The 24,193-nt window shown below is 42.3% G+C and overlaps 1 long non-coding RNA gene across 2 annotated transcripts in view; it reads left to right on the plus strand.

Moving 5' to 3' along the window:
• Positions 1 to 11,608, plus strand: part of LINC01483 (long intergenic non-protein coding RNA 1483) — a 309,014-nt gene extending 297,406 nt beyond the window's left edge. For both annotated transcript variants that reach the window (NR_109971.1, NR_109972.1), the window contains one exon: positions 11,350 to 11,608. This is a non-coding gene — a long non-coding RNA (long intergenic non-protein coding RNA 1483). The remainder of the gene's footprint in view (positions 1 to 11,349) is intronic.
• The last annotated feature ends 12,585 nt before the right edge of the window (positions 11,609 to 24,193 follow it).

Below are 24,193 nucleotides of genomic sequence, written 5' to 3' on the forward strand. Positions count from 1 at the left end.
ACTAGCTATTGGCTGGAGACATATGGGACCCTCCAGGGGCCACTCACAACGTAGACAGTTGCTTGCTTTATCGAGAGCAGGGGTTCGAGAGAGAGAGAGTGACACCTACACTGAAGTTACAGTCTTTTTATTACCTGACCTCAGAAGAAACATACCATTGCTTTTGCCGCATTCAGTTCAGTAGAAGTGAGTCATTATTAATAGGTCCAGCCTACACTCAAGTGAAGGGGATTTCATGTCGGCTTGAATATCAGGAAGGTGGGATCACTGGGAGTCATTTCAGAGACTGCCTACCACAGATGTGATAGTGGTGTTGTGGCAGAAATCCTCTGCGCTCCTGCTACCCCAATGGTGGCCCACGGATTAGCAGCATAAGACCACCTGAAAGCTTGATAGAAATGTAGCATCTCAGGTCCAATCCCACCCAGGCCAGCTGAATCAGAATCTGCATTTAACAAGGTCCAGAGATTCTTCATGTGCATACCAACGTTTGAGAAGCTCTAGGCTATAGGAGCTTCACATAATGAATCTTAGAGGAAACTACTTTTAAACTGACACCCACGCACCGGAGTCTCTATCTTGGAGCAGATGGTGATAAGCTGATGAGATTCTGCTTTCTATGCTTTTCGAAAACACAGGCTTGGGCAGGTAATCCATAGTCTTAAAATGCACACACAGTCACAGTTTAATGGCTTAATGATGAAGCCTGAACTTTTGTTGGCCATCAGACGTTAACAATGACCACATGGACGTCTCCGATTCCTGCATAGCATTTATAGGGAAAACCAGATCTTTGAACTTATGAAAAACCCCTAACCCATCATCCAAGCACCTTTCATTCCTAGAGATTATCAGAGTTTTCATTACAGGTTAAATTCTTTGTAACTTTTTCATGTGGAAACTATCCCGTTACCTCCTGTTAGTTCTCCTGCTGAGTGCAAATGGAGTGTATACTCTACTTCCTACAGCTGTTTTGGATTTTGTTACATTTTCCAGGTTTTGGGAAAAAAAATGTGCTGACAGAATGTGGCTTCATCTACAACTCTCAACTGATTTAAGAGTATAAACAGAAATACGTTTCCTGATTGTATGTACCAATGAAATAATAATATTATCCAAAGATCCACTAGCCATTTTATTTTTAGAAACTGGGCATTAATTAAAGAGAAACAGAAAAATATGCTGGGGAAAGGTCATTGTGAGATAAAGACAGCAAATATGGCTAGACAAAACAAAAAAAAGATACATTTTTGGTTTGCACTATTTTCAGTGGAAGATAGTTGCTTTTTTTTTTTTTTTTTTTTGAGATGGAGTTTCGCTCTCTGTTGCCCAGGCTGGAGTGCAGTGGTGCAATCTCGACTCACTGCAACCTCTGCTTCCTGGGTTCAAGCGATTCTCCTGTCTCAGCCTCCCGAGTAGCTGGGATTACAGGCACCCGCCACCACGCCCGGCTAATTTTTTGTATTTTTAGTAGAGACGAGGTTTCACCATGTTGGCCGGGCTGGTCTTGAACTCCTGACCTCAGGTGATCTGTCTGCCTTGGCCTCCCAAAGTGCTGGGATTACAGGCGTAAGCCACCGCGCCTGGCCAATAGTTGCTTTTTAAATGGAAAAACAAAAAACAAAACAAACAAACAAAAAACCTTTCCATTCGTATCTGGGCAGAAAGTCAGAGTCAAATAGATATAATTGGAAAAGTTTACTAAATGATGGACTTATGTTACATTTCCCCCCAACTGATCTTTTTTGTTTTATTTTACATAATGGAGTAAAATCCTCTTAAATAAATATATGTGAAAGCAGAATGCTCCAGTCACATTTTATCGTAACAAGATGAAACAAATAAAAACTTAAATCTGAGGCACTAAGAGGTAAACAACTTTTGCTTGGGCTACACAATGACACTTAGCCCGTCTGTTAATAGTGTGGAGAGCACATCTTCCCTTTTTGTTTTCAGGGATGAGGTTGTAAGTAATAAAATTATGAGTAATTTTTGGGCTCTCCCAACTGGTAAAAATCCTCAAGGTGTGTTTTATCAACTCAAGTAGATGGAGTGCTTCATGGTCCAGAATAAAGGGGCTGGAAGATGAAATATGTTGGGATGTTAGAGGCAAGGGGCTGCTGGGGAGCTCATAAAGTTAGAATCACGTTGGGACCTATTTATTGAGAAAAGGCAGGTGAGACAGGGCTAAGAGATTGCTGGGGAGATTGATCCTGGTAATGGCAGCTGGGCAGTCCCAAGTCCAGGTTCCAAAGGACAAAAAAGCCAAATTAAGATCCAGCGAGTCACACCAGAAAGTCCACTCTGGATGACAGAGCACATGTGGTGGGCAGTCTAGGTGTGTTGTAGGTGGTGTTGTGGGAACTCTGACTTTAAGGATTTTATCCCATTTAGGGGGATTGACAAATCCAGGTCACATAATAGGATGCCAGCTATGAAATCCAGGGGTTGGAATAGGGCCTTCACTCACAAGGATAAATATGGATGTTGGTTTGCTTAGCACTGACCCAAGGCAAAAGCTCAGTACCATGCCCTAAAATAGAAAAAAATGTAAGGGATGCTGTGAGTTGGAGAGAGGAAAGAACTTCCAAAGAGACTCAGGTCATCCGTTTGACCTCCTGGATAGAAGTTTGGTGAATAAAGGAGACTTAGGTAGGGAGTGGGGAGTTGGAACACAATGTAGGAGTCTAGATTTAGTCTCTGGACCACGAGATTTGGGGGGTGAGAACACTGAATTGTTTTTAATCTCCTCCTTCACCACCCTGGAGAAGTTGGTAAAGCAATTGTAGGGGCTGGGACGCCATGTGAGTCCATCTGGATCTATCCAGACCGGGAGACGCAGCATGAAAAAAATGAAGATGGTGCTGATATCAACTTGTTTCACTCTGGTCACTTTCCTTCCTCTAGAAAGTTGCTGCTGGGTCAGGGTGATTAGCTGGGGACATGCTTACAGGTTTCTGTTGTTTTACTTTATGTGGTTTCTTATGAGCAAGAGGGAAAGTGCTGATCTTGTAGCTCTATAATCAAGAAGACGCCCTTATTAGTTCCCATTCTGGTAAATAGGAGCAGTATCTAATTTCCTTTGGAAGCAAGGCAGTAGAAGAGAAAGGGTATACTACCATGAAAAGCAATCCTGCCTGGAACCAATGTGTTTGAGTATTGAACTTTGGGTCACACAGAGTTTTTCCCAGCAATGATATTCGAATACATAATTACTCTGCTCTTCATGTGGTATTGGTAGTGCAAAAAACAAGTGTGTACTTTGTATTTATTTTCCAGATTTCCCATTTATTGTTCCCCAAACAGAGTGACGGTGCAAGTTTTATTCCACCACATTGAAAGATAGCTGCTCTTGGCTTCAGGAAGCTTTTTCCTTTCCTTTTATTTCTTTTCAATCCTCCCTTTCTTTGTTTGGTGACTGGGTGCCCCTCCATGTGTCATCTTCTTTCAATAGCACAGCTACCATCAGGAATCATAGCTAAAATACTTAACAACCAATGCATCTCAGGTATGGAACAACTGGAATGGACATCGACCTTAATCTGGAGCAGAAAACAAGGGGCCCTCTGCTCTGCCCAAAGGTTAACAGTTTAATTGTGGGATTGTGGTGAGTTCAAGAGGCTGCAGAAGATATGGTAAGGGGATTCAGGGTAGCAGCTAGTTTACCAAGTGGTATAGAAATATTTACATACTGAGAAATATTTACTATACTGAGATGCTCATATCAGTGCATACTGGCTCATTATCAAGGCTGATATTTGTTTCTAGAATGTGGTGACGGGACCAGTATACTTGAAGCTACAGAGAGACCCTGATGACTAACTGATACAGTCTCCTTATCTCTCACGTTTGTTAATTCTATAAGTACTTATTGAGCATCCACTATATGTTGGACACTTATCAAGGTACTGGTAAGATACTGGTGAATACGACAAAAAGAAATTCCTGCTTATCTTCTAGTAGGGGAGATAGACAACAAATAAAAAGGGAAAAAAGAATGTATGATGTGATTTCAGGTTGTGATAAGTGCTGAGGAAAAACAAAGCACAACAGGCCAGTGGAGAGAAGAAGGCTTGAGAAAGGGTATTGGATTAGGCGTCAGGGAAGACTTTTCTGAGGAATTGACACTTGAGCAAAGACCTGAATGAAAAGAGGAAACAGGCCATCAACTCTCTGGGGAAGGAGTCCCAGGCAGATGTGACACTATGTGCGAAAGTCCTCAAGGTGGGAAGGACTGTGGCATGTTACATGAGCAGAAAGGCAGTACAGCAGGAGCTGAGAGATGGAGGGGAGAGTGTTAGGAGAGGATAGAAAGTAGGTAGTGGCCCAGTGCACCTAGGCCACGGGAAGGAGTTGGGATTTTAATCTGAACATGATAGAGCACCACTGGATACGTATGATCTGAATTATATTTGAAGAAGAGCACTTCAGCTGATGTGCTGAGAAGGTACTTGTGGAGGGATCAGTAGAAACATGGAGTCCAGTTAGTTTGCTTTTTGTTTTTGAGATCAGACAAGGGGTAATTAGGCCTAAAGTTACCAGGGCTCAGAAAATCTACATGCCTGGTTCCAAGCCACACTGTTGAAGTTTGGTCCCAATTTTCCAGATGTCATAATGCAATCAGTGCTGGCCATCTGAAAGTTTAGGGAACATGGCCTCTCACCAAGAACGTGTTACTTGCCCAAACCTCACCTCTTCTCTCCCCATCCTGTTGTAATCTTTGAACTAGGAAAATTCTAACATTGGATAGTTGATAACAAAATTGAAAGACTGTGTAAATACTCTTGAGTTAACAAGGTAAGGGATAAGCCTAATTTTCTTACCATTGGGCTCAAAGGCAATACCTTTGTCTGTTTTAAGAAAACTGAGAACCAGAGTGGGTGCGGTGGCTCACACCTATAATCCCAGCACTTTGGGAGGCCGAGGTGGATGGATCACTTGAGGTTAGGAGTTCAAGAGCAGCCTGGCCAACATGGCAAAACCCTGTCTCTACTAAAAATACAAAAATTAGCCAGGCGTGGTGGCACACGCCTGTAGTCCTAGCTACTTGGAAGGCTGAGGTGGGAGAATCCCTTGAACCAGGGAGGCAGAAGCTGCAGTGAGCTGAGATTGTACCACTGCACTCCAGCCTGGGCGACAGAGCAAGGCTCTGTCTAGAAAACAAACAAACAAAAAACAAAACTGGGAATCACTGATGAGTAAATTTTAAAGCAAAGTGCAGATAGAGCCATGGGGAAAAAGAAAATAATAAGGATGAGGCAAGAAACAGAAACTGGAGATAAGGCAGTTCTTCTAAAAGGCACCCAGATCAGATGGGAAAATGCCAGCTCCTGCTTTCATGCAGTTTGCAATTAGGTTCCAATAGCTGTTTCTCCCTGAGGTCCATCTTCCCACAGTCCAGGGTCCTGCAGTTATCACAATGTTTTGAATTGTGAAATCTCTCTCTCTGTCTCACTACTCTGCCTTTCATCTCTGAATGACTAATACTGTATGCAATGCGTAACATTTTAGGGACACTTTGCAATCATAGCACACAATGGCTACCCGTGGACCACATCTCTTTTTCAGGTTTGTTGGGCCTACAGAGAGTTTTTGGAAATTTGAATAAGCTGCTGTATTAGTTTTCTACTGTTGTGTAGCCAATTACCACATACTCAGCAGCTTAAAACAATATACATTTATTATCTCATCATTTCCACGGCTCAAGAGTCCAGGCACGGCTTAGCCGAGTCTGCTCAGGGTCTTACCAGGCTGCAACCCAAGAGGCTGGCCAGGCTGCATTTTCATCTGGAGGCGCCAGGGGAAAGAAGCCACTTCTTTTTTTCTTTTTTTTATTTTTTGAGACAGAGTCTCACTCTGTCGCCCAGGCTGGAATGTAGTGGTGTGATCTTGGCTCACTGCAACCTCTGCCTCCTGGGTTCACGAAATTCTCCTGCCTCAGCCTCCTGAGTAGCTGGGACTACAGATGCGTGCCACCACGCCCAGCTAATTTTTTGTATTTTTAGTAGAGACAGGGTTTCACCACGTTGGCCAGGATGGTCTCGATCTCTTGACCTTGTGATCCTCCCAACTCGGCCTCCCAAAGTGCTGGGTTTATAGACATGAGCCACCGCGCCCGGCCAGAAGAAGCCACTTCTAACCTCAATCAGGTTGTGGATGAAATTCACTTTGTGCAGCTATCAGTTGTATGATTGAAGATTCTAACATTTTGCTAGCCGGAAGCTGCTCAAGGGCCCTAGAGGCACAGTTGCTTGTCCTGTGGGCTTTTCTGCCATGGCTGCTTACTTCATCTCACTTCGGGGAGGGACAAGTTTCTCCTTTAAGGGCACTCACCTGATTGAGTCTGGCTCATCCACCATCATTCTTTGCTTTTTGATTAACTCTGAATCAACTGGCTTGGAATCTTAATTACATCCAGAAAAAGACTTTCCCTCTAGGTCATATTCTCTTGGCTAGAAGCAAGTCACAAGTTCATCCTACAGCCAAGGAAGGGGGTCACACAACGTATCAGGAATCATGGGAGCTTCTGTTGGGTCTGCCCACCACAGTTGACTACATATACAAATTAGCAAAGTGCACAGAATTTAGTTTTTCAGTTTCTTTTTTCTTTTTCTTTTCTTTTTTTGTTTTTGAGACAAAGTCTAGCTCTGTCGTCCAGGCTGGAGTGCAGTGGCACAATCTTGGCTCACTGCAACCTCTGCCTCATGGGTTTAAACGATTCTCCTGCCTCAGCCTCCTGAGTAGCCGGGACTACAGGTGCCCACCACCACGCCTGGCTAATTTTTTGTATTTTTAGTAGAGACAGGGTTTCATCATGTTGGGCGGGCTGGTCTCAAACTCCTGACCTCGTGATCTGCCTGCCTCAGCCTCCCAAAGTAATGGGATTACAGGCGTGAGCCACCGAGTCCGGCCTTTCACTTTCATTTGAAAAAAAAAAAAAAGAATCAGAGTAGACACTGGGGCCATATTCTCACCTGACATCAGCCCGCAGGAGTGGGCTATTGACAACCCCCTTTGGTTAGACATGCTCCCTGAGTTTCTATTATTCCCCTCTCTGATTTTGTCTAATTGTTTATTCATTTGTGTCAACTGCTTCACTCTGCCATTTATGGTTACAAGTCCCATAGTAAACATTTGCTAGAATTATGTAATGACAATTATTTTGCTTGTGTTTTTGTTGCTTTTGTGTATGTTTAACCGAAGTCTCCTTCAGAGCCTAAAGGAATGTTGGAGATTATTTAATTCACCTATTTTACAGAGAAAACTGAAGCTCCCAAAAGTGACTTTGCCAGGTTCATACAAGTTGTTAAAACCCCAAACTCAAGATTCTTCCAATTCAAGCCCTGCAGCATTTCTTTGAGAATGAAAGCAAAGAAGAATTGGCCAACTCATGTCCCAGGAGACAATCTGGAAATATTTTGCTGTAAATCCATACCTCCCGTCTCGAGGAAAACTTAGCATTTTTCGAGTATTAGAAATCACCATGAACATTGTGCATCATTAGGCCCATGGAGAGCTTTTGCTTCTTCTGCAGAGGCTTTAGTGCAGTTGAAGATTTACCAGCACGTGCCAATGAGCTGTCACCGTGTCTTTATTCAAAAGGTCTCTGTCTACCAACGGCATACTGCATACTGAGAAATGTACACCTTTTGGTGTGTGCTCAATAATTGAACCTGCACTTCTCATGGGGTTCCAGAGCCAGGAAACACATGTTCAAATTCCAGCTCTGTCATTTGCTATGTGACTGGCCTTGGGCAAGTTATTAAATTCTCTGTGCCTCAGTTTTCTCATTTGCAGAATGGGTATTAGAATAAAATTTTAAAATAGTATTACATGAGTTAATAAATGTAAAGCACTTAGAATGGTGCCTGACTCAATAACATATATCTATTAATATTAATTATTATTATTATTATTACTTTCACTCGTGTTCCTGCATAGATGCTTGTGGTTGAGTTGTGTTACCTAGATCTTGAATTTGCATTCTCACTGGGTGCAATATCATTCCCAATAGGGAAAAAAATTTGTTTATTGGGAAACAAAAAAATCTTATTCTTTTAATGTATGAAACATAAACATAAAATATATAAACAGAAATACTGTGTACTTATATTACAATTTCATGGGAGGATTGATTAGTTAAAAAAATGCCTAAGAAGCCTTGTTGGAAGAGTGAAAATGGGGGAAAAAAGGGTTGAGAAACACTGTTTTAGAAGAACAAGAGAAGACAGGCCAGGCATGGTGGCTCACACCTGTAATCCCAGCACTTTGGGAGCTGAGGCTGTCAGATCGCTTGAGGCCAGGAGTTCAAGACCAGCCTGGCCAATGTGGTGAAACCCCATCTCTACTAAAATTACAAAAATTAGCTGGGTGTGGTGGCATACGCCTGTGATCCCAGCTACTTGGGAGGCTGTGGCACAAGAATGGCTTGAATCCAGGAGGCCGAGGTTGCAGTGAGCCGAGATCACACTACCACACTCCAGCCTGGGTGACACAGTGAGACTGTCTTAAAAAAAAAAAAAAAAAAAAAAAAGAAAGGAAGGGCAAGAGAAGACAGGTCAAACATAATAAAGGGTTTCAAGATGTGATGGCAGAGCAGGAAACCAAGCACGGAGCCCTTCTGATTTCCAGATCCTTCCTGTGTGACTGTCCAGCATGTACACTGATGAAGGCAGCCCTGATGACGGGCAGTCTGTGGTGTCTCTGATGACTCTTCTGAGGGGTATCATAGGACAACTCAGGATGTCTCCTTTCTTAGTAACCTCCCTCATCATTAGGACTGTTGCCCATAGTGTGGAAGGAAGGTAGAACCACCTTTTGCCGAGTTTAGCCTATTTTTCCTAGATTAGAAACAAACTGCTAATACCTGGGTAAAAAATGAAAGAGTTAGTGAAACTCAATGAGTGTTTCAGTGGTTTTGTTGCCTCCCTGCCAACCCAAGGTTTCGTCCTTTTGTGTATTAATTTGGTCTCCATTCTATGCTCTCCCAAAACATGAAAGTTCTTTTATTTTACTTATTTATTAATTTATTTATTTTGAGATAGAGTTTTGCTCTTGTTGCCCAGGCTGGAGTGCAATGGCATGATCTCGGCTCACTGCAACCTCCACCTCCGGGGTTCAAGCAATTCTCCTGCCTCAGGGTCCCAACTAGCTGGGATTATAGGCATTCACTACCACGCCCAGCTAATTTTTTTGTATTTTTGATAGAGACGGGGTTTCCATGTTGGTTAGGCTGGTCTTGAACTCCCGACCTCAGATAGTGTGCCCGCTTCGGCCTCCCAAAGTGCTGGGATTACAGGGGTGAGCCACCACGCCCGGCCGCAAGTTCTTTTATTTTACAAATTTTATTTCTGATAATTTGAGATGAAAGCAAGTAGAGAGAAAAAAAAAGATTTCTTGATAAAAATGAAGCCTTCGGCTTCCTCCATATCTGACCCTCGTTCAGAGTTTCTGGTGCTGTTTAACTCTGGAGATTTGTAAGAGGAAATGACCTAAGTTTACTACGGGGCTTACGCAGAGGTCCTGCTCAGCACTGCCCAGGAGTACCGATTGCTAACTCTGTCCTTCCCTCTGATGCCAGGTCCCAAAAATAGCCCAGTGGGAACAACACAGCAGCCTCTCCCTCACGGCCTGCAAATCAAAGCCCTGATTAGGTCAAAGGATGGGAAATGTGGCTATATCGCTGCTCAGAGGCTCTTCAATGCCAAGGGTGTAGAAGCTTCCTGTTCCTTCAGATGTTGGGACAGAGCCGCTGGGCAGGCTTCACTCAGGAGACCTTGCTCCATCTCTTTTGAGTCCTTGAATCTGCTGGGGAGAAGCAGTTTTCCCGTGGAAGCCTTTGAGTCCCTAAGATTCTGGAAGTCCAGGGAAGAGCACTTCAATTTGTAATTGCAGACATCTGACCCAAGAAAGGCTGGCCTTGCTGGAGATGCCTCACTCCCTAGGAAAATCAATTTTGGTTTATTTCATGGAAGAAATAAGACCACTGAAGATTTTTCCTTCTTTCTCATTTCTGGTGGGCACACTTGAAAATGGCAGCTAGTATCATTGTAATGTCACCTTACAGCTTATATCAAAAGCGTATAAAAGTCTTTGCCCCATAACTAAAGGGCTCCTTTGGGGTGTGGGGAGGTATTGAGGGGAAGTGACAGAGCAGAATAAGGAGGGGTATAAAAATCCTCTATGTCTTAGTCCGTTTGGGCTGTTACAGCAAACATATCACAACAAAGAGGCTTATACACAACAGAAATTTATTTCTCGTAGATTTGGAGGCTGGGAAGTCCAGATCAAGGCACGAGCAGACTCAATATCTAGTGAGGGCCTACTTGCTCATACATGACTGATATGGTTAGGCTTTGTGTCCTCACCCAAATCTCATCTTGAATTGCAATCTCCAGGTGTCGAGGGAGGGACCTGGTGGGAGGTGATGGGATCATGAGGGCAGTTCTCCCCATGTGGTTCTCATGATAGTGAGTGAGTTCTCACAATAGCTGATGGTTTTATAAGGCAGTTTTCCCTGCTCTTACTCACTCTTCTCTTTCCTGCCATCATGTGAAGAAGGTTCTTGCTTCCTCTTCACCTTCTGCCATGATTGTAAGTTTCCTGAGGTCTCCTCAGCCATGTAGAACTGTCAGTCAATTTTCTTTATTAAAAAACCCAGTCTTGGGCAGTTCTTTATAGCAGTGTGAAAATGAACTAATACAATGACTCTCTTCTCATTGTACCCTCACATGGCAGAAGAGGTGAGGGTCTTTTGGGGGTCTCTTTTATCCTATTCCTGAGGGCTCTGCCCCCTTGACCTAATCACCTTTCTAAAATTGGCCTCCTAATTCCATCACCCTGGGCTTTAGGATTTCAGCGTATGAATTTGGGGGAATGCAAACATTTAGACCATTGCACTTTATAACAAGGATTAGTAAATGATGCCCCAATCCTCCCCCACCCCCCACACCTGTGTTTGTAAATATAATTGCACTGGGATTTTCTTTTCCATGCTTATTCATTTGTGTATTTTCCATGGCAGCTTTCATAATACAAAGGCAGAGCTGAGGAGTCCTGATAGGGATCACGCGTCCCACAAAGCCTAAAATATCTGGCTCTTTACAGAAAAAGCCTACTGATCCCTGCTTTATAATAATGGCCATACATTTAGTGTTTCCTATGCTGTGTACATTATATAGCTTTTCTCATTCAGGTCTCCCAACAATAGTGCAAAGTGGATACTGTTCTCTCCACTTTACAGATGGGGAAGGAGAGGAAAAGCTTGTTCAAGGTCACGCACATGGTAAATGATAAGGCTGGGTGTGAATCTATAGCTGTCTGATATTATGATTTTTTTTTTTTTTCTAGCACACTGCATTGCCTCACAGCTAAATTCCCACTGGATTGTTGGTCTGAATCACCGATTGAAAAATCAAATGTCTTCAGGGACCCGGCAGGATCCCGAAGGACGCCGCTCTAAGCCAGAGGGAGCGGTGTGTGTTGTGGCTGAAGTGGAAAATACAAGCCCAGTTTAAGGGCATTCAAACATGAATTGTTTTTTTTAAAGCCGTGCGAGTCAAACAAAACATGTCAGCAGTTCTTATTAGGCTAACAGGTTGCTGGTTTGTGACCCTTGGACCGATCCTCAACCAGGTTGGGCAAGGGAAACGATGATATGCTGAGAATGGAAACCAGACCGCCCATTGGTCTCCCCCTCCGGCCCCGGTTCACTTCTTTGGGAACATCTTAGATGGCTGCATGGAGAAACACGGACCTTTGGCCTGTTTTTTTCCTCCGAGCTCTGCCACCTAGTCTTGGTATGACTTCAAGCAAATAGACTAACCTCTATGAGCTTCCGATTTTTCATCCTTTAAAACTGAGATTTACTTATCTCACATTTATTGGTCCATGGTGTGCGTCAGGAGCTGCACTGGTCTTGGCTTATCTCAGGAAATGGCAACTCCATACTTCCACTTGCTCAGAGAAAAACCTTTAGTGTGCTCCTTGATTCTTCTCTTGTTATTACACCTATGACCAATCTGTCAGCACAACCTGCTGTCTCTGTATGCAGTAAGCATCCGGAATCTGAACAATTCTCATTTCGATCACTAATGAAACCGTGCCCCAAAGAGTTAAAAAAATGACTAGCAAATATTCTTGAGTTTGCAGGATGGCAGAGAAGGAAAAGAAAAACAACTTGCCGAAAGGCTGAAACTCCTTCTGCTTGCAAGATGTCAAAACTGACTAAAATTGGCTAAAACCAATTTGGCCAGCTAGAGTCTGCACACAGAACCAGCTTGTTGACATCACAACCCAAATTTCCACTGCAGGTTTTATACTAATTCCACCCTCAAATTTACACATACAATCTATGGGGTAGCATGGAGAAGTGCATGTGCTAGAAGACTTTCCAGACCTCCCCTTTGCTTCTACCCATCATAGATGAATCCCAGAATCCACTTTGTAAACCTTTTGTAATAAAATGACTGCCGTAAAACCAGCATGAGGAGACAGATTTGAGCTAAACTCCTGTCTCCTTGAAAAGCTCAATGAAAAGCTTTTCTTTTCTCAAAAACCCAATGTCATATTTTTGGTTTCTAGTGCACCGGGCAGCAAGTCCTTGGACTCTGTAACACTAACACCTAAGCTCCAGCCTCCATGGTAGCTGACCTGGATTACGGCAATAGCCTCCTTACGTGGTCTCCCAGGTCCTTGAGTTTGTTCTCAACCCAGCAGCCATAGAGACCCTGTTAAATAAGTGAGACCATGACATTCTTCATGCTTTCTCCTTTCACAGAAAAAAACAAAGTTTTTACAATGACCTTCAAGGTGCCAATGATCTGCCTCCTCTCCTGCAACCCTTTTTCCCTGCTTTTGCGATCTCATCTCTGGTTCTCTGACCTGCGCACTCCTCTCTAGCCAGTGCCCCTCTACCTCTCCGTCAAGCACACTAGGCAAGCTCCTACCTCACAGCCTTCAGGCCTGCTTCTTCCGCCTGGAAAACTCTTCATCTAGATAGCCGCAGGGCAACTTCTTCATTGCTTTACTGCATCTTCTAAGTGAGGTCCTCCCTAACCATATAATTCAAATTGCGTGCCCCCTATTTACTCCTCTTTCCTTTGTTATCTTCCTCCCTAGCACTAATCATTACCACATAGCATATGATTTATTTATTTATATTGTTTATTGTCTGTTTTCCACAATAGCAGCCAAAGAATTGTGCTCACTGCTGTATCCACAGCACCTTATAAGGTGCCCCATCTACAGTGCATGTCTAATACTTTGAAGTTCCTTTTCTTCTTTCCTTTCTCTTTCTCATCAGAAATAAATTTTCCCCACCACACCATTTTATTTACTCTATTAGAATTGAATTAAAATTATTTTAAGAACCTCGGCTGGGTGCGGTGGCTCACACCTGTAATCCCAGCACTTTGGGAGACCAAGGCGGGTGTATCACCTGAGGTCAGAAGGTCAGGAGTTTGAGACCAGCCTGGGCAACATGGTAAAACTCCGTCTCTACTAACAATACAAAATTAGCCAGGTGTAGTGGCATGTGTCTGTAATCCCAGCTACCTTGGGAGGCTGAGGCAGGAGAATCGCTTGAACCTGGGAGGCAGAAATTGCTGTTAGCTGAGATTGTGCCACTGCACTCCAGCCTGGGCGACAGAGGGAGGCTGTCTCAAAAAAAAAAAAAAAAAAAAAAAAAAAAAATCTCGTGCTCTACCAACTGAGCTAGCTGGCTGGGCTTCTAAATTACAATTCTTTTCATTTCAAAGATCTGTGGCCAATGATAGGCAGCTAACTTTGAAACATATGCCAGTGATTGTGGCAGTGGAGTCCCCAGACCAGCATCACATCCATGGTCACCAGGGGACTTGTGAGAAATGCAAATTCTTGCTGGGCGTGGTGGCTCACGCCTGTAATCCCAGCACTTTGGGAGGCCGAGATGGGCGGATCACAAGGTCAGGAGATGGAGACCATCCTGGCTAACACGGTGAAACCCCATCTCTACTAAAAATACAAAAAAATAAGCTGGGCATAGTGGCGGGTGCCTGTAGTCCCAGCTACTCGGGAGGCTGAGGCAGGAGAATGGCATGAACCTGGGAGGCGGAGCTTGCAGTGAGCCGAGATCACACCACTGCACTCCAGCCTGGGTGACTGAGCGAGACTCCATCTCAAAAAAAAAAAAAAAAAAAAAATGCAAATTCTTGGGCCTCACCTAAAAGCCACTGAATCAGACATACTGGGGAAGGGTCCAGCAATGTTTCAACAAGCCCACCAAGTGATTCTGATACAAGTTAAAATTTAAGAACCATTTCATTGTTTGGGTTTGTTTATAAAAGCAGTGCTAGGTCAAAGAATGACTAGGTAAAATGAGGTAATGAAAGACAGCTGGGGAATGGGATGAAGCACACCTGTATTCAATACCCACCTCCGCTCTTGGGTGATCTTGGATGCATCACTTCTCAGCCTTGAAACTTGGGTTCCTTAGCTCCAGGGGTACAGAACCAAATGATCTCTAAGACCCTGACCCATCTGAACCTCTGGTTAGTCTATTTTTGAACTTGCTTCTTTCGTTGTGTTCTAGGACTGTCTCCCAACACTTACATCTCAATACCCCCTTCCCTCTTTGCTTTGTGTTCCTCAATACGAAAGACCTGTGGTTGCTATCTGGATGTCTCCCATCTCCAAACATGTTCCCATTGGAAAAAAAACAGTACACAATATGTGTTTGCTTTACTCACTTATATATTATATATGTGTGCTGCTATATAAACATACGCAATATGTATTCAAAATGGAAATTCAAGCTCAGATAATAAAACAGCGATTCTAACTTGGGTTTACCCCATTGAATACCACTTATCTGAACTCAAGACAGGCAACTCTCCCTAACTCTCTCCTAAACACTGACCCGTTTTCCAGAAAAATACTCATTTTCTTTGAGAGCTAAGCATACTTTCTAAAAACAACTGATTAAATAAATTCAGGGAACATCATCCTCCTTGTATTGAGCACTTACTACATGTCAGGCACTAAGCTCAATGCTTCTTACGTACATAAATCTTATTTATTATTTACAGGAATACTGTGCAGTAGGTATAATTGTCCCATTTTGCAGATCGGAAAACTGAGGCACAGCTAGGTTATATAACCTGCTCTTATTTGCTTAGCAGAAAATAGGTAAAGCTAGCACAATGGTAGAACAACAAGAAATTTTTGCTACAACCTAATGAAGGCATTTCTAAGGATATTTTCCATTAAAGAGTAGCTCTTTAGCAAAATTGAATAGTATTGATTTCTAATCGTAGAATTTCAATGAGATTTTCGGCAAGGAGTTCTATCCTAGTGCCACTCAATGTATAAACCTGAATTGTTTCTATTCTGCATAGAGACAGGGCCTAGGATTCTGAGGTTAGGGGCATGATTTCTTAAGTGGGGTCTGGCCTGTCTCATGACACCGCCCTGCTTCTCTGGGATCTGGTAGTGGTAGGAGCAGAGAATTTTCAACTTGCGGTCAGACCCAGAACTTCAGGACTGACATGGTTAATTAGAACTACTGTGGTAGCTGGAAAGGGAGAGATATATCTGGAAACAGCCCCCAAATTGCTTACATCACATTTAAAACTGTCCGTGTCCCTCATGGAGTAGCTTACGAAGCTGAAAGCATGGGTGCTTTTTATGATAACTAATTTTCTTTATGATTTTCCCCACAGTTAACGTGTATCTAAGATTCACATGTGCTTTATCCAACACACAATTAGTTGACATAGGATATGGAAAAATCTCTTGTTCGCATTTGTTTACTTGATGCATCAACTGACAGAATGTGGTTACTTCTGTAGTCTCCGAGGAGCTGAAAAAAAATCTCAGAAATCCGACTTTATGAAGTTAGGTTTTCCGCCACTGAGAAATAGCTTCATGTTAAAGGTTTGTTTACAAGGAATTGCTGTTTCCACTTGCTGGAGCAGCTCTTAAACATTTTTTTTTTTTTTCTAAAGTTTTTTTTTCCAACCACTAAGTGGATCTAAACATTAAGTGTTTCTGAAGTTGGTTTTCCAGCTCCTGGACTACTATTAACTTCTGCTGGGATGAAACAGAAGGCTGCTGCCTCCACTTAGCCATCCGTAATGTAAGAGTGTAATATTTTGAAGAATTTTAAAAAAGGGCTTACTGCGCAATATTTATATTTCATTCACATCAGCACAGGACAGTGTTGACACAAAGTTCCGTTGTTGTTGTTGGCTGCGCCTTTTTTGCTTCCATCTCACGGCGCCCAACTTCCCGCTCCCACTGATGGAAGAAGCTATATCTGCTCCAAGCAAGAGGCCAACCTGATAAACCCAGACAGAGCAGAGCCCACAGAGCCTCTGCTTCTTAAGAGGAAAAATTGAGAGATACTTGTACAGGTCTGTTTGAAAGGAGGAATGATAGAAAACTCCTTCCTGACCTTAGAATCAAGGCACTTTGAGAGTTAGATGTGTCTCCCTCTCTCCCAGAAGTGAGGAAAATGAAGTGTGCTGTGGTTTTCCATAAAAAATCCGTATTTCACACTTGCTTATGATTGCAATTATCAGATATTCTCAAGGAATTTCTCACATTATGTTCCAAAAACCAGTTAGAGTTAGAGTGTGCATTGGTAATAATGGTAACCATGATGGATAAAGAGAAGTTTGCAGAACAAAACTCCAGTACCCCCCAGGCTTAACACCTTCTGTTAGACTCCATTATTTGAATGCATGCTCATAATAGATCCCCAATGAGCAAGAAGATTTTTATATCACTTTCTCCCTCCTTGTCTTCTCCCTGCACCACACATCTGCATTCACCCACATGTATAAACACTCTTCTTTTTGCTCAGCTTTTCAGCTGCACTCTTCCCCAAATTCACAGCCACTGGCAAAAGTTGCTGTTGTTATCAACCATAAATAAATATCCTCAAAAGACCATTATCATCTTACGTTGACTTTTAAATTCTGTTTATATCTGGGAATTCAGGAAAGAGAGAGAGAAAAAGGAAGGAAGGAAGGAGAGGAAAGAAAGAAGAGAAAGAAAAAAGAAAGAAAGAAAAAAGAAAAGGAAAGAAAGAAAGACTTTATGAATACTTTCTGTAGGCTCCTCTGGAACCAAGATTAGTCCCCAAGTAGTAGAGACAGAATAGAGTAAAAAATAAGCTATGTGTGGCTCTCATGAGACTAATTTAGACTTTCATGACTTCTTTTTTCCCTTGATTTTTCTTTAAAACTGGAGGCAAAACAACAAAAATAAGCCAAGCTCAGGGCTGATATCAGGTTGTTTTGATTGTAAGAACATAACCTTGCCAATATTGTACCAACTCCACTCTATGTAGGCATGTTGTTCTTTGGCTCACTTAGAGATGAAGAAATGAAGGTTCATGGATTTTTGAGTCACTGGCTAACCCACCTTCCTCCCCACCACTCTCTCTGTTGCCAGCATATTCTTCATTCAGCCTTTGTCCCATGAGGGATATAAATTTAGAAGAGAAACCTGTAGGTAATTAACAGTCCGGCATGTCTGTCATTCCTTTGATAAAATGTGTTGGGTGTGGTTTCTCAGCATGCAGTTGATAAAATGCATTGGTGGTGTTCCATTTCATTTGACTTTCCATTAGTTTTTTTTTTCTTTTATTTTCCAACGAGGATGTGTTAATGGCCAGCTTCTGTTTTCAATCATGGGGGACATTTCTATGGATTTATTTTTACATTTTCCAATAAGAAACATATTCTGATCCTTTAAAGGTTAAAAGTAAAGTATGAAAGGGTGAGTGACAGAAGAAAAGCTTCCCTGCTGGCTTAAATTAGCAGAAGTGTATGTACGTGTGTGTGTGTGTGTTTGTGTGCATGTGTGTTTGTGTGTATGGCTCTTTAGGATCTGGATTTTCTTTCTGTCTTGGGGACAAAGATCTTGCCATATTTATGATTTGTTTAGTTACTATATAGCTTTAATGACCTAAGATTGGAGAAAGAGGCACATCATTTCATTAATCTCTTTGCTTAAGTTCCTTACTGGTTAAGCATGAAGAAAATTCCTTAGGGCTTTGGGCAGCAGATTTGCACCTTGAATAGCAAAATAGGTTTGTGTAATCAGGTTTTATGTAAGACTGAGCAGGCAAGGGTGCAAATGAAAAGGACACTGCATGAATTCCAGCTCACAGCTTTGAAAAAGGTGCATCATTTGAAAAAGTCACCCAGGCTTGCAAACCACAGGAGCCTCAGCAAGCACATGGGTGCAGTGAGCAATGAGTAAGAAGAACACTCCCTGGAGAGAAGCTCTGCTGCCCATCTGCAGAGCCCTGACTTGCCCTGGAAAGGAGCTCATATTGTCTAGACTTTATTGGTTATTGACAATCCAGGGCAGTAGGCACACAGCTCTGGTCTACATTAGCATGCAGATGTACCTGTCTTTGAACTTGAGATGCTGTTCCTGCTTGGAATTCTCTTGTGCTTCCTTTTTCCTATACATTAAAGACCCAAGATTTTGACCTGTGCCTTGTACATCCGTTAAAATTCTCACTTTGGCCCATTTAGATATCTGAACTTAAGACATGTCTCTTCTTACACTCAGCCAAGTTTAGTCTTCTGAATGTCATCCTCAAACCATCTACATAGATTCTGATTCTTAGTTTTGTCCTTAGCTTAGCATACCACTTAGGACACTGCTTTTATTGCCAGTTTAATGTCCCCTTGATGGTACTTCTGCTGTGTGCCATTCTAGCCTTTCCATGTACTAGTGTGATTCATCTCCGGGTCAGCCCCTTCTCAGGCTCTCCATACTCTGTGAGAGTCCCATTCCTCCATTTGGAATGTTGCACGCACAACATAGAACTGGCTTATACCAAAAGGCCTGTCCCATTTTCATTCATCCTGAAACTCGAACCAGAACTCTGGTATGTTCTTCTTGAGCTGGAGGACCCCGTGTTCTTGCATAGAGATTCCTCTTTCTGTTTGCCACCACTGTCCACTGTTGCTATCACTGCAGCCCAGGCCAGCAGAAGATGTGCACCTGTCACTGCTGACACTAAGCACTGACAACCGTGGTGGCAGACACCTTTTGTTGGTTAATCAATAGTCATCACTACCACTCTCACTTTTTATTTGCAAACAGAACCCTGAATTTTGCTCAGAATGACAGTAACCCAGTCCCAGGGGATAATTTATCATTTTGTAACCCAATCATAGTAATCATAGTCATTTTTGTCCCCTGTTTATTTTCCAAGCTTCCCTCTTGGCCTTAGGACATTGTTATCATATGTATTAGTCCATTGTCATACTGCTATGAAGAAATACCTGAGACTGGGTAATTTATAAAGAAAAAGAGGTTTAATGGACTCACGGTTCCACATGGCTGGGGAGGCCTCACAATCATGGCAGAAGGCGAAGGAGGGGCAAAGTCACATCTTACATGGTGGCAGGCAAGACAGCGTGTGCAGGGGAACTGCCCTTTATAAAATCATCAGATCTCATGAAACTTATTCACTCTCATGAGAACAACGTGGGGAAAACCTGCCCTCATGATTCTATTACCTCCCACGGGGTCCCTCCCACAACACGTGGGGATTATGGGAGCTACAATTCAAGATGAGATTTGGGTGGGACACAGACAAACCATATCATCATTTAAGGGAAAATCCACTGAGGAATATTTGGTAAGTGCTTTGTTGACACTAAAAGAGACCAGTTTGTGAAGAGATTTTGTTTGCTCCAAGGACAAGGGTGAGGGACCCAAGTGTCAAAATTTGGAGGTGAATGTCAGAGGCTGCCTGGTCTGAATTCCAGCTCCCTTGCTTACTAGTTGTATCCTCCCAATCTAGTTACCTCAGCTTTTCATACCTTGGTTTCCCCTTTTATCAAATGGAGAAAATTATCATGGCATCTATCTTATAGGGTTGTTAGGAGAACTAGATTAATTAATAGCTATTGAGTATTAGAATGATGCTTGGGTATAAAAGCATTTTATTGGAATAAAAGCAGTAAAGGCTGTAGAAGCATTTGTTAAACATATGAACATGGACATCTTTCAGGGTGAATTTTGATTTATTTAGCAAATGGCATTTTTCTTTTATGAAACTGACAATGATAAAATGAATGATAGGGTCCAACACTAGCTAGGTGAAGGGGAAATGCTTGCTATCTGACAGCGTTTTGCAGAGGTGAATTATATATTTTCTGACCTAAAAATCTTTTCTAAAAATGCAAAAAATATTCAAAGATGGACTAGTAGCCCATCAACAATGATAACATATACTCACATTTTTTGACATGAAAGATTGTATAGGGTTAATGAGGAAATGAGGTAATACAACACGTCTTACAGAATAATGACATTTATACAAAATATTTTAGTCAATGTATTAAAAACGTGTTGAAAATATTAGAGAAGACAGATACCAAGTACTGGAGAACTGGATGATTTAAAACATTTTCTTTTTCGTTTATTTGAATTTTTGTTTTCTATGATGGTCTTGAGTGGCTAGTTGTAGAAGAGTATATATAGTAAGATTCCATTTTTATAAGACAAATATGGTGACCCATTAGTAATAAATAATGAAATCTAGATAGTTACACATATAAAACTGTCTGGAAGGATATACACCAAAATGACAATAGTTGTTACTTCTGGATTAATGGTATTATAGGTTATTTCATTTTATTTATTCATTTATTTATTTTATTTATTTTTTGAGATGGAGTCTTGCTCTGTCGCCCAGGCTGGAGTGCAGTGGCGCCATCTCGGCTCACTTCAAGCTCCGCCTCCCAAGTTCACGCCATTCTCCTGCCTCAGCCTCCCAAGTAGCTGGGACTACAGGTGCCTGCCACCATGCCCGGCTAATTTTTGTATTTTTGGTAGAGACGAGGTTTCACCATGTTAGCCAGGATGGTCTTGATCTCCTGACCTCATGATCCACCCGCCTCAGCCTCCTAAAGTGCTGAGATTATAGGCATGAGCCACCGGGCCTGGCCTCATTTTATTTTTTGAATATTTTTACTTTCTGATTTTACTGCAGTTATTATGTAACATTCTAGGTTTTACAATTTTTTTATTTTTATTTTATTTTATTATTATTATTTTTTTGAGACAGAGTCTTGCTCTGTTGCCCAGGCTGGAGTGCAGTCGTGAGATCTTGGCTCACTGCAACCTCTGACTCCAGGGTTAAAGATTTTCTCCCTCCTAGGCCTTCCGAGCAGCTCGGATTACAGGTGCCCACCACCATGCCCTGTTAGTTTTTGTATTTTTAGTAGAGACAGAGTTTCACCATGAAAGCCAGGCTGGTCTCAAACTCCTGACCTCAGGTGATCCACCCGCCTCGGCCTCCCAAAGTGTTGGGATTACAGGCGTGAGCCACCGCACTCGGCCACAAAATTTTTTGAAAAGAGCTAAGCAGCGTATCTTTCTGGTACAAATGGTCCTACTAATATTATTATTCTGTTGGTAGCCAAGTAGGAAAATTCTATAAGTGCCAGATATTTGAGCTTATAAAGATTCCAACAGAATCTTCCTTCACCCCACCACCAGCCCCACACATTAGTCTGGAGATATTTATATTTGCTGCCAAATATCTGCCCCAAATCATTCTGTATTGCTGACATTTTGTCAGATTAATAGATCCCGAGTGATATGAATATGTTGATTTTGTGGCAGACTGCCAAAGAATCCTTTTTATAGACAAAAATGGATATGATAAATTATGTTTCTTGAGGTCCCGATGTTTCTATTTAAAGATGTCTGTAGATATTCAGTCCCTTATAAAGGTACCTTAACATTGCTCTTTAAAAGCATTGTACTACGTCTTTTCTTTCATGCTTTGAGAGCAAATCAGGGTTATCCTGGGGGTAGACACTTTTGCCCCTGTCTTGTGGTTTGTGAATTCCTTGGCTCACCTGTCAGTGTAAGGCATTCTCTTTTAATTCAAGTTCATTCATCAGTCTGGGGAAATGCTTTTCTTTTTCAGAGGACCTGGATTGATTGGTTGGAAATATAATTTGGTCCCTGTGTTTGTGCTGGATCACAGATCAGAAAGCAGTTTCAGTTTGCACTGGCTCTCGGACTTCTTTACTGGTGAAATTCAGAAGTGCAGCAAGAGACAAGAAAATCAGAGCTGTTTATACAATCTCTTTTCTTACTTTCCTTGAGTGTTTTAAAGAGGAAGACTGGGCCTCCAAACTTTGAGCACTGGCAGCAATACTATTGTATGCCGTCAACTCCTATTCCTTTCACAATTCTTCTGTGCACTGGAAGAGAAAAAGGCAGCTAGCAGGGGTAAGCATAAGTGGAAGGTATTTCTTTGGGTATCTTCTTTGTGTGAGACACAGTTCTAGATCTTGTGCATTTATTCTCTCCATTAAGCCTCTGATGTTTCAGAGAAAACTGATGTCGTAAGACAGTAACCCACGTACCCACAGACATAGCTGTGATGATTGACAGAAGCAAGTTCAAATGCCAGGCCTGCCTTCTTTAAACCAGAAGTGTTCCTACAGTACCAGCCACAGGAATTTGAGCTTATGGCTTACAGGATTCAAGGTCTCAAATTCTTCACCATGTTGTCTGTAGATCAAATAAGACAATGATGATGATGATGCAGGAGGATGGATGGAGGAAGGAGGATGAACATGGTGATGATAATAGTTCCTACCTCAGTGCAATTACATTGATTGCAAAGCTTAATGTGAGCAACGACCTATAAGCATCTGATTTCTAGTTTGCTGCCTTTTACCCTATTCCTATTGGCTATTTGCCCTAGGGAAGAGCAGCTTTTATAACTTCACTGGCAGGTTTCCTAATTGCTCAAATTGACATGCAAATAAGCTCTCCTTGACTCATCCTAATGTCTGTCCTTATCCATACATCCCAGAATTTGAGGCACAAATCACATTGCAGGTCTACATCTTTATAAACTTCTTCATGAATCTGCCATGCATCCTGATAGCAATGGCATGAACAACACCTCCCAGATTCTGAAAGTGTCTGTTTAAAAAGGTTGCAGAAGCCAGGCACAGGTGGCTCGCGCCTGTAATCACAGCATTTTGTGAGGCCCAGGTGGGCAGATCACTCGAGGCCAGGAGTTCAAGACGACCAACCTGGCCAACATGGTGAAACTCTGTCTGTAGTAAAAATACAAAAAAATTAGTTGGCCATGGTGGCACACGCCTGTAGACCCAGCTACTTGGGATTTGCTGGGAACCTGAGAATCACTGGAATCCAGGAAGAGTCTGCAGTGAGCTGGAGATTGTGTCACTGCACTCCAGCCTGGTGACAGAGTGAGACCCTGTCTAAAGAAAAAAAAAAAAAGGTAGGGAGAGGGTTTGCAGACTGAACCTCATTAACAGACTCTCTCTCATCTGATTGGCAGGATGTGCATGGTCACTTAACCAATCCCTTAGGCCTGCTCAAGAGGAAAGATACAGTTTCTGTCACAGCCCCAGGGTCCCAGGCAGCAAATGAATAATGCTTTTCCCTGAAATGGCTTAGTTTCATGCTTCCCTTTCCTCATTTTTTCATGGTGCCTGGGGCCTGCACTTTGGAACAGGGGAAGAGCTTTGTCAGGTATTCCTCCATGATTGTATCACTATGTTTTAGCCATTATATTTTAGTCCTAGAGCCTATGATTTGTTCTTTCTCGAAGACTCCAAGACCCTTCTGAGTCTTTGAGAGTCCTTTCCAGAGGGCGTGGTTGGGACAGAGAAGGGGCAGGACAGGGCTTGAACTGGGAAGCGGGGAAGACACAGCCAGCCACCAGGTGGTAGATATAGGCATCTGGCACTTGTGGGTCAGTCACTGTACAACCATCTTTCTTGCACGTGGATGCTGAGACTTGTATAGTGTACAAGGGAAGGATGGAGAGAAGCAAACTCCTCTCATGATGCTGTTACTAATATGCCAGGTCCAGTGTTAAATTCTTTCATTTGCTTAATATCATTTGTTTCTACCGCTGCATGTAAGTTGGGTATTTTATCTATTTTTACTGGAAATAGGCTTAGGGACAAAATAATATGCCTGAATTCTAACTGCATTAAAAGCAAAGCCTGATTAGAATCTTTGTCTCTCAGTCAAATTCTTAGGTTAAAACAAGTGAAAACAAACAAGATCACTCATAAGAAATGATTTGGACTGTTCTTAATAAATGAGAATGTTCTTAACAAATACATGATAAATGTTTGAGATGATGGATATTCCAGTTACCTAGATTGAATCA

The sequence above is a fragment of the Homo sapiens genome, chromosome 17, assembly GCF_000001405.40.
Source record: "Homo sapiens chromosome 17, GRCh38.p14 Primary Assembly".
NCBI lineage: Eukaryota > Metazoa > Chordata > Mammalia > Primates > Hominidae > Homo > Homo sapiens.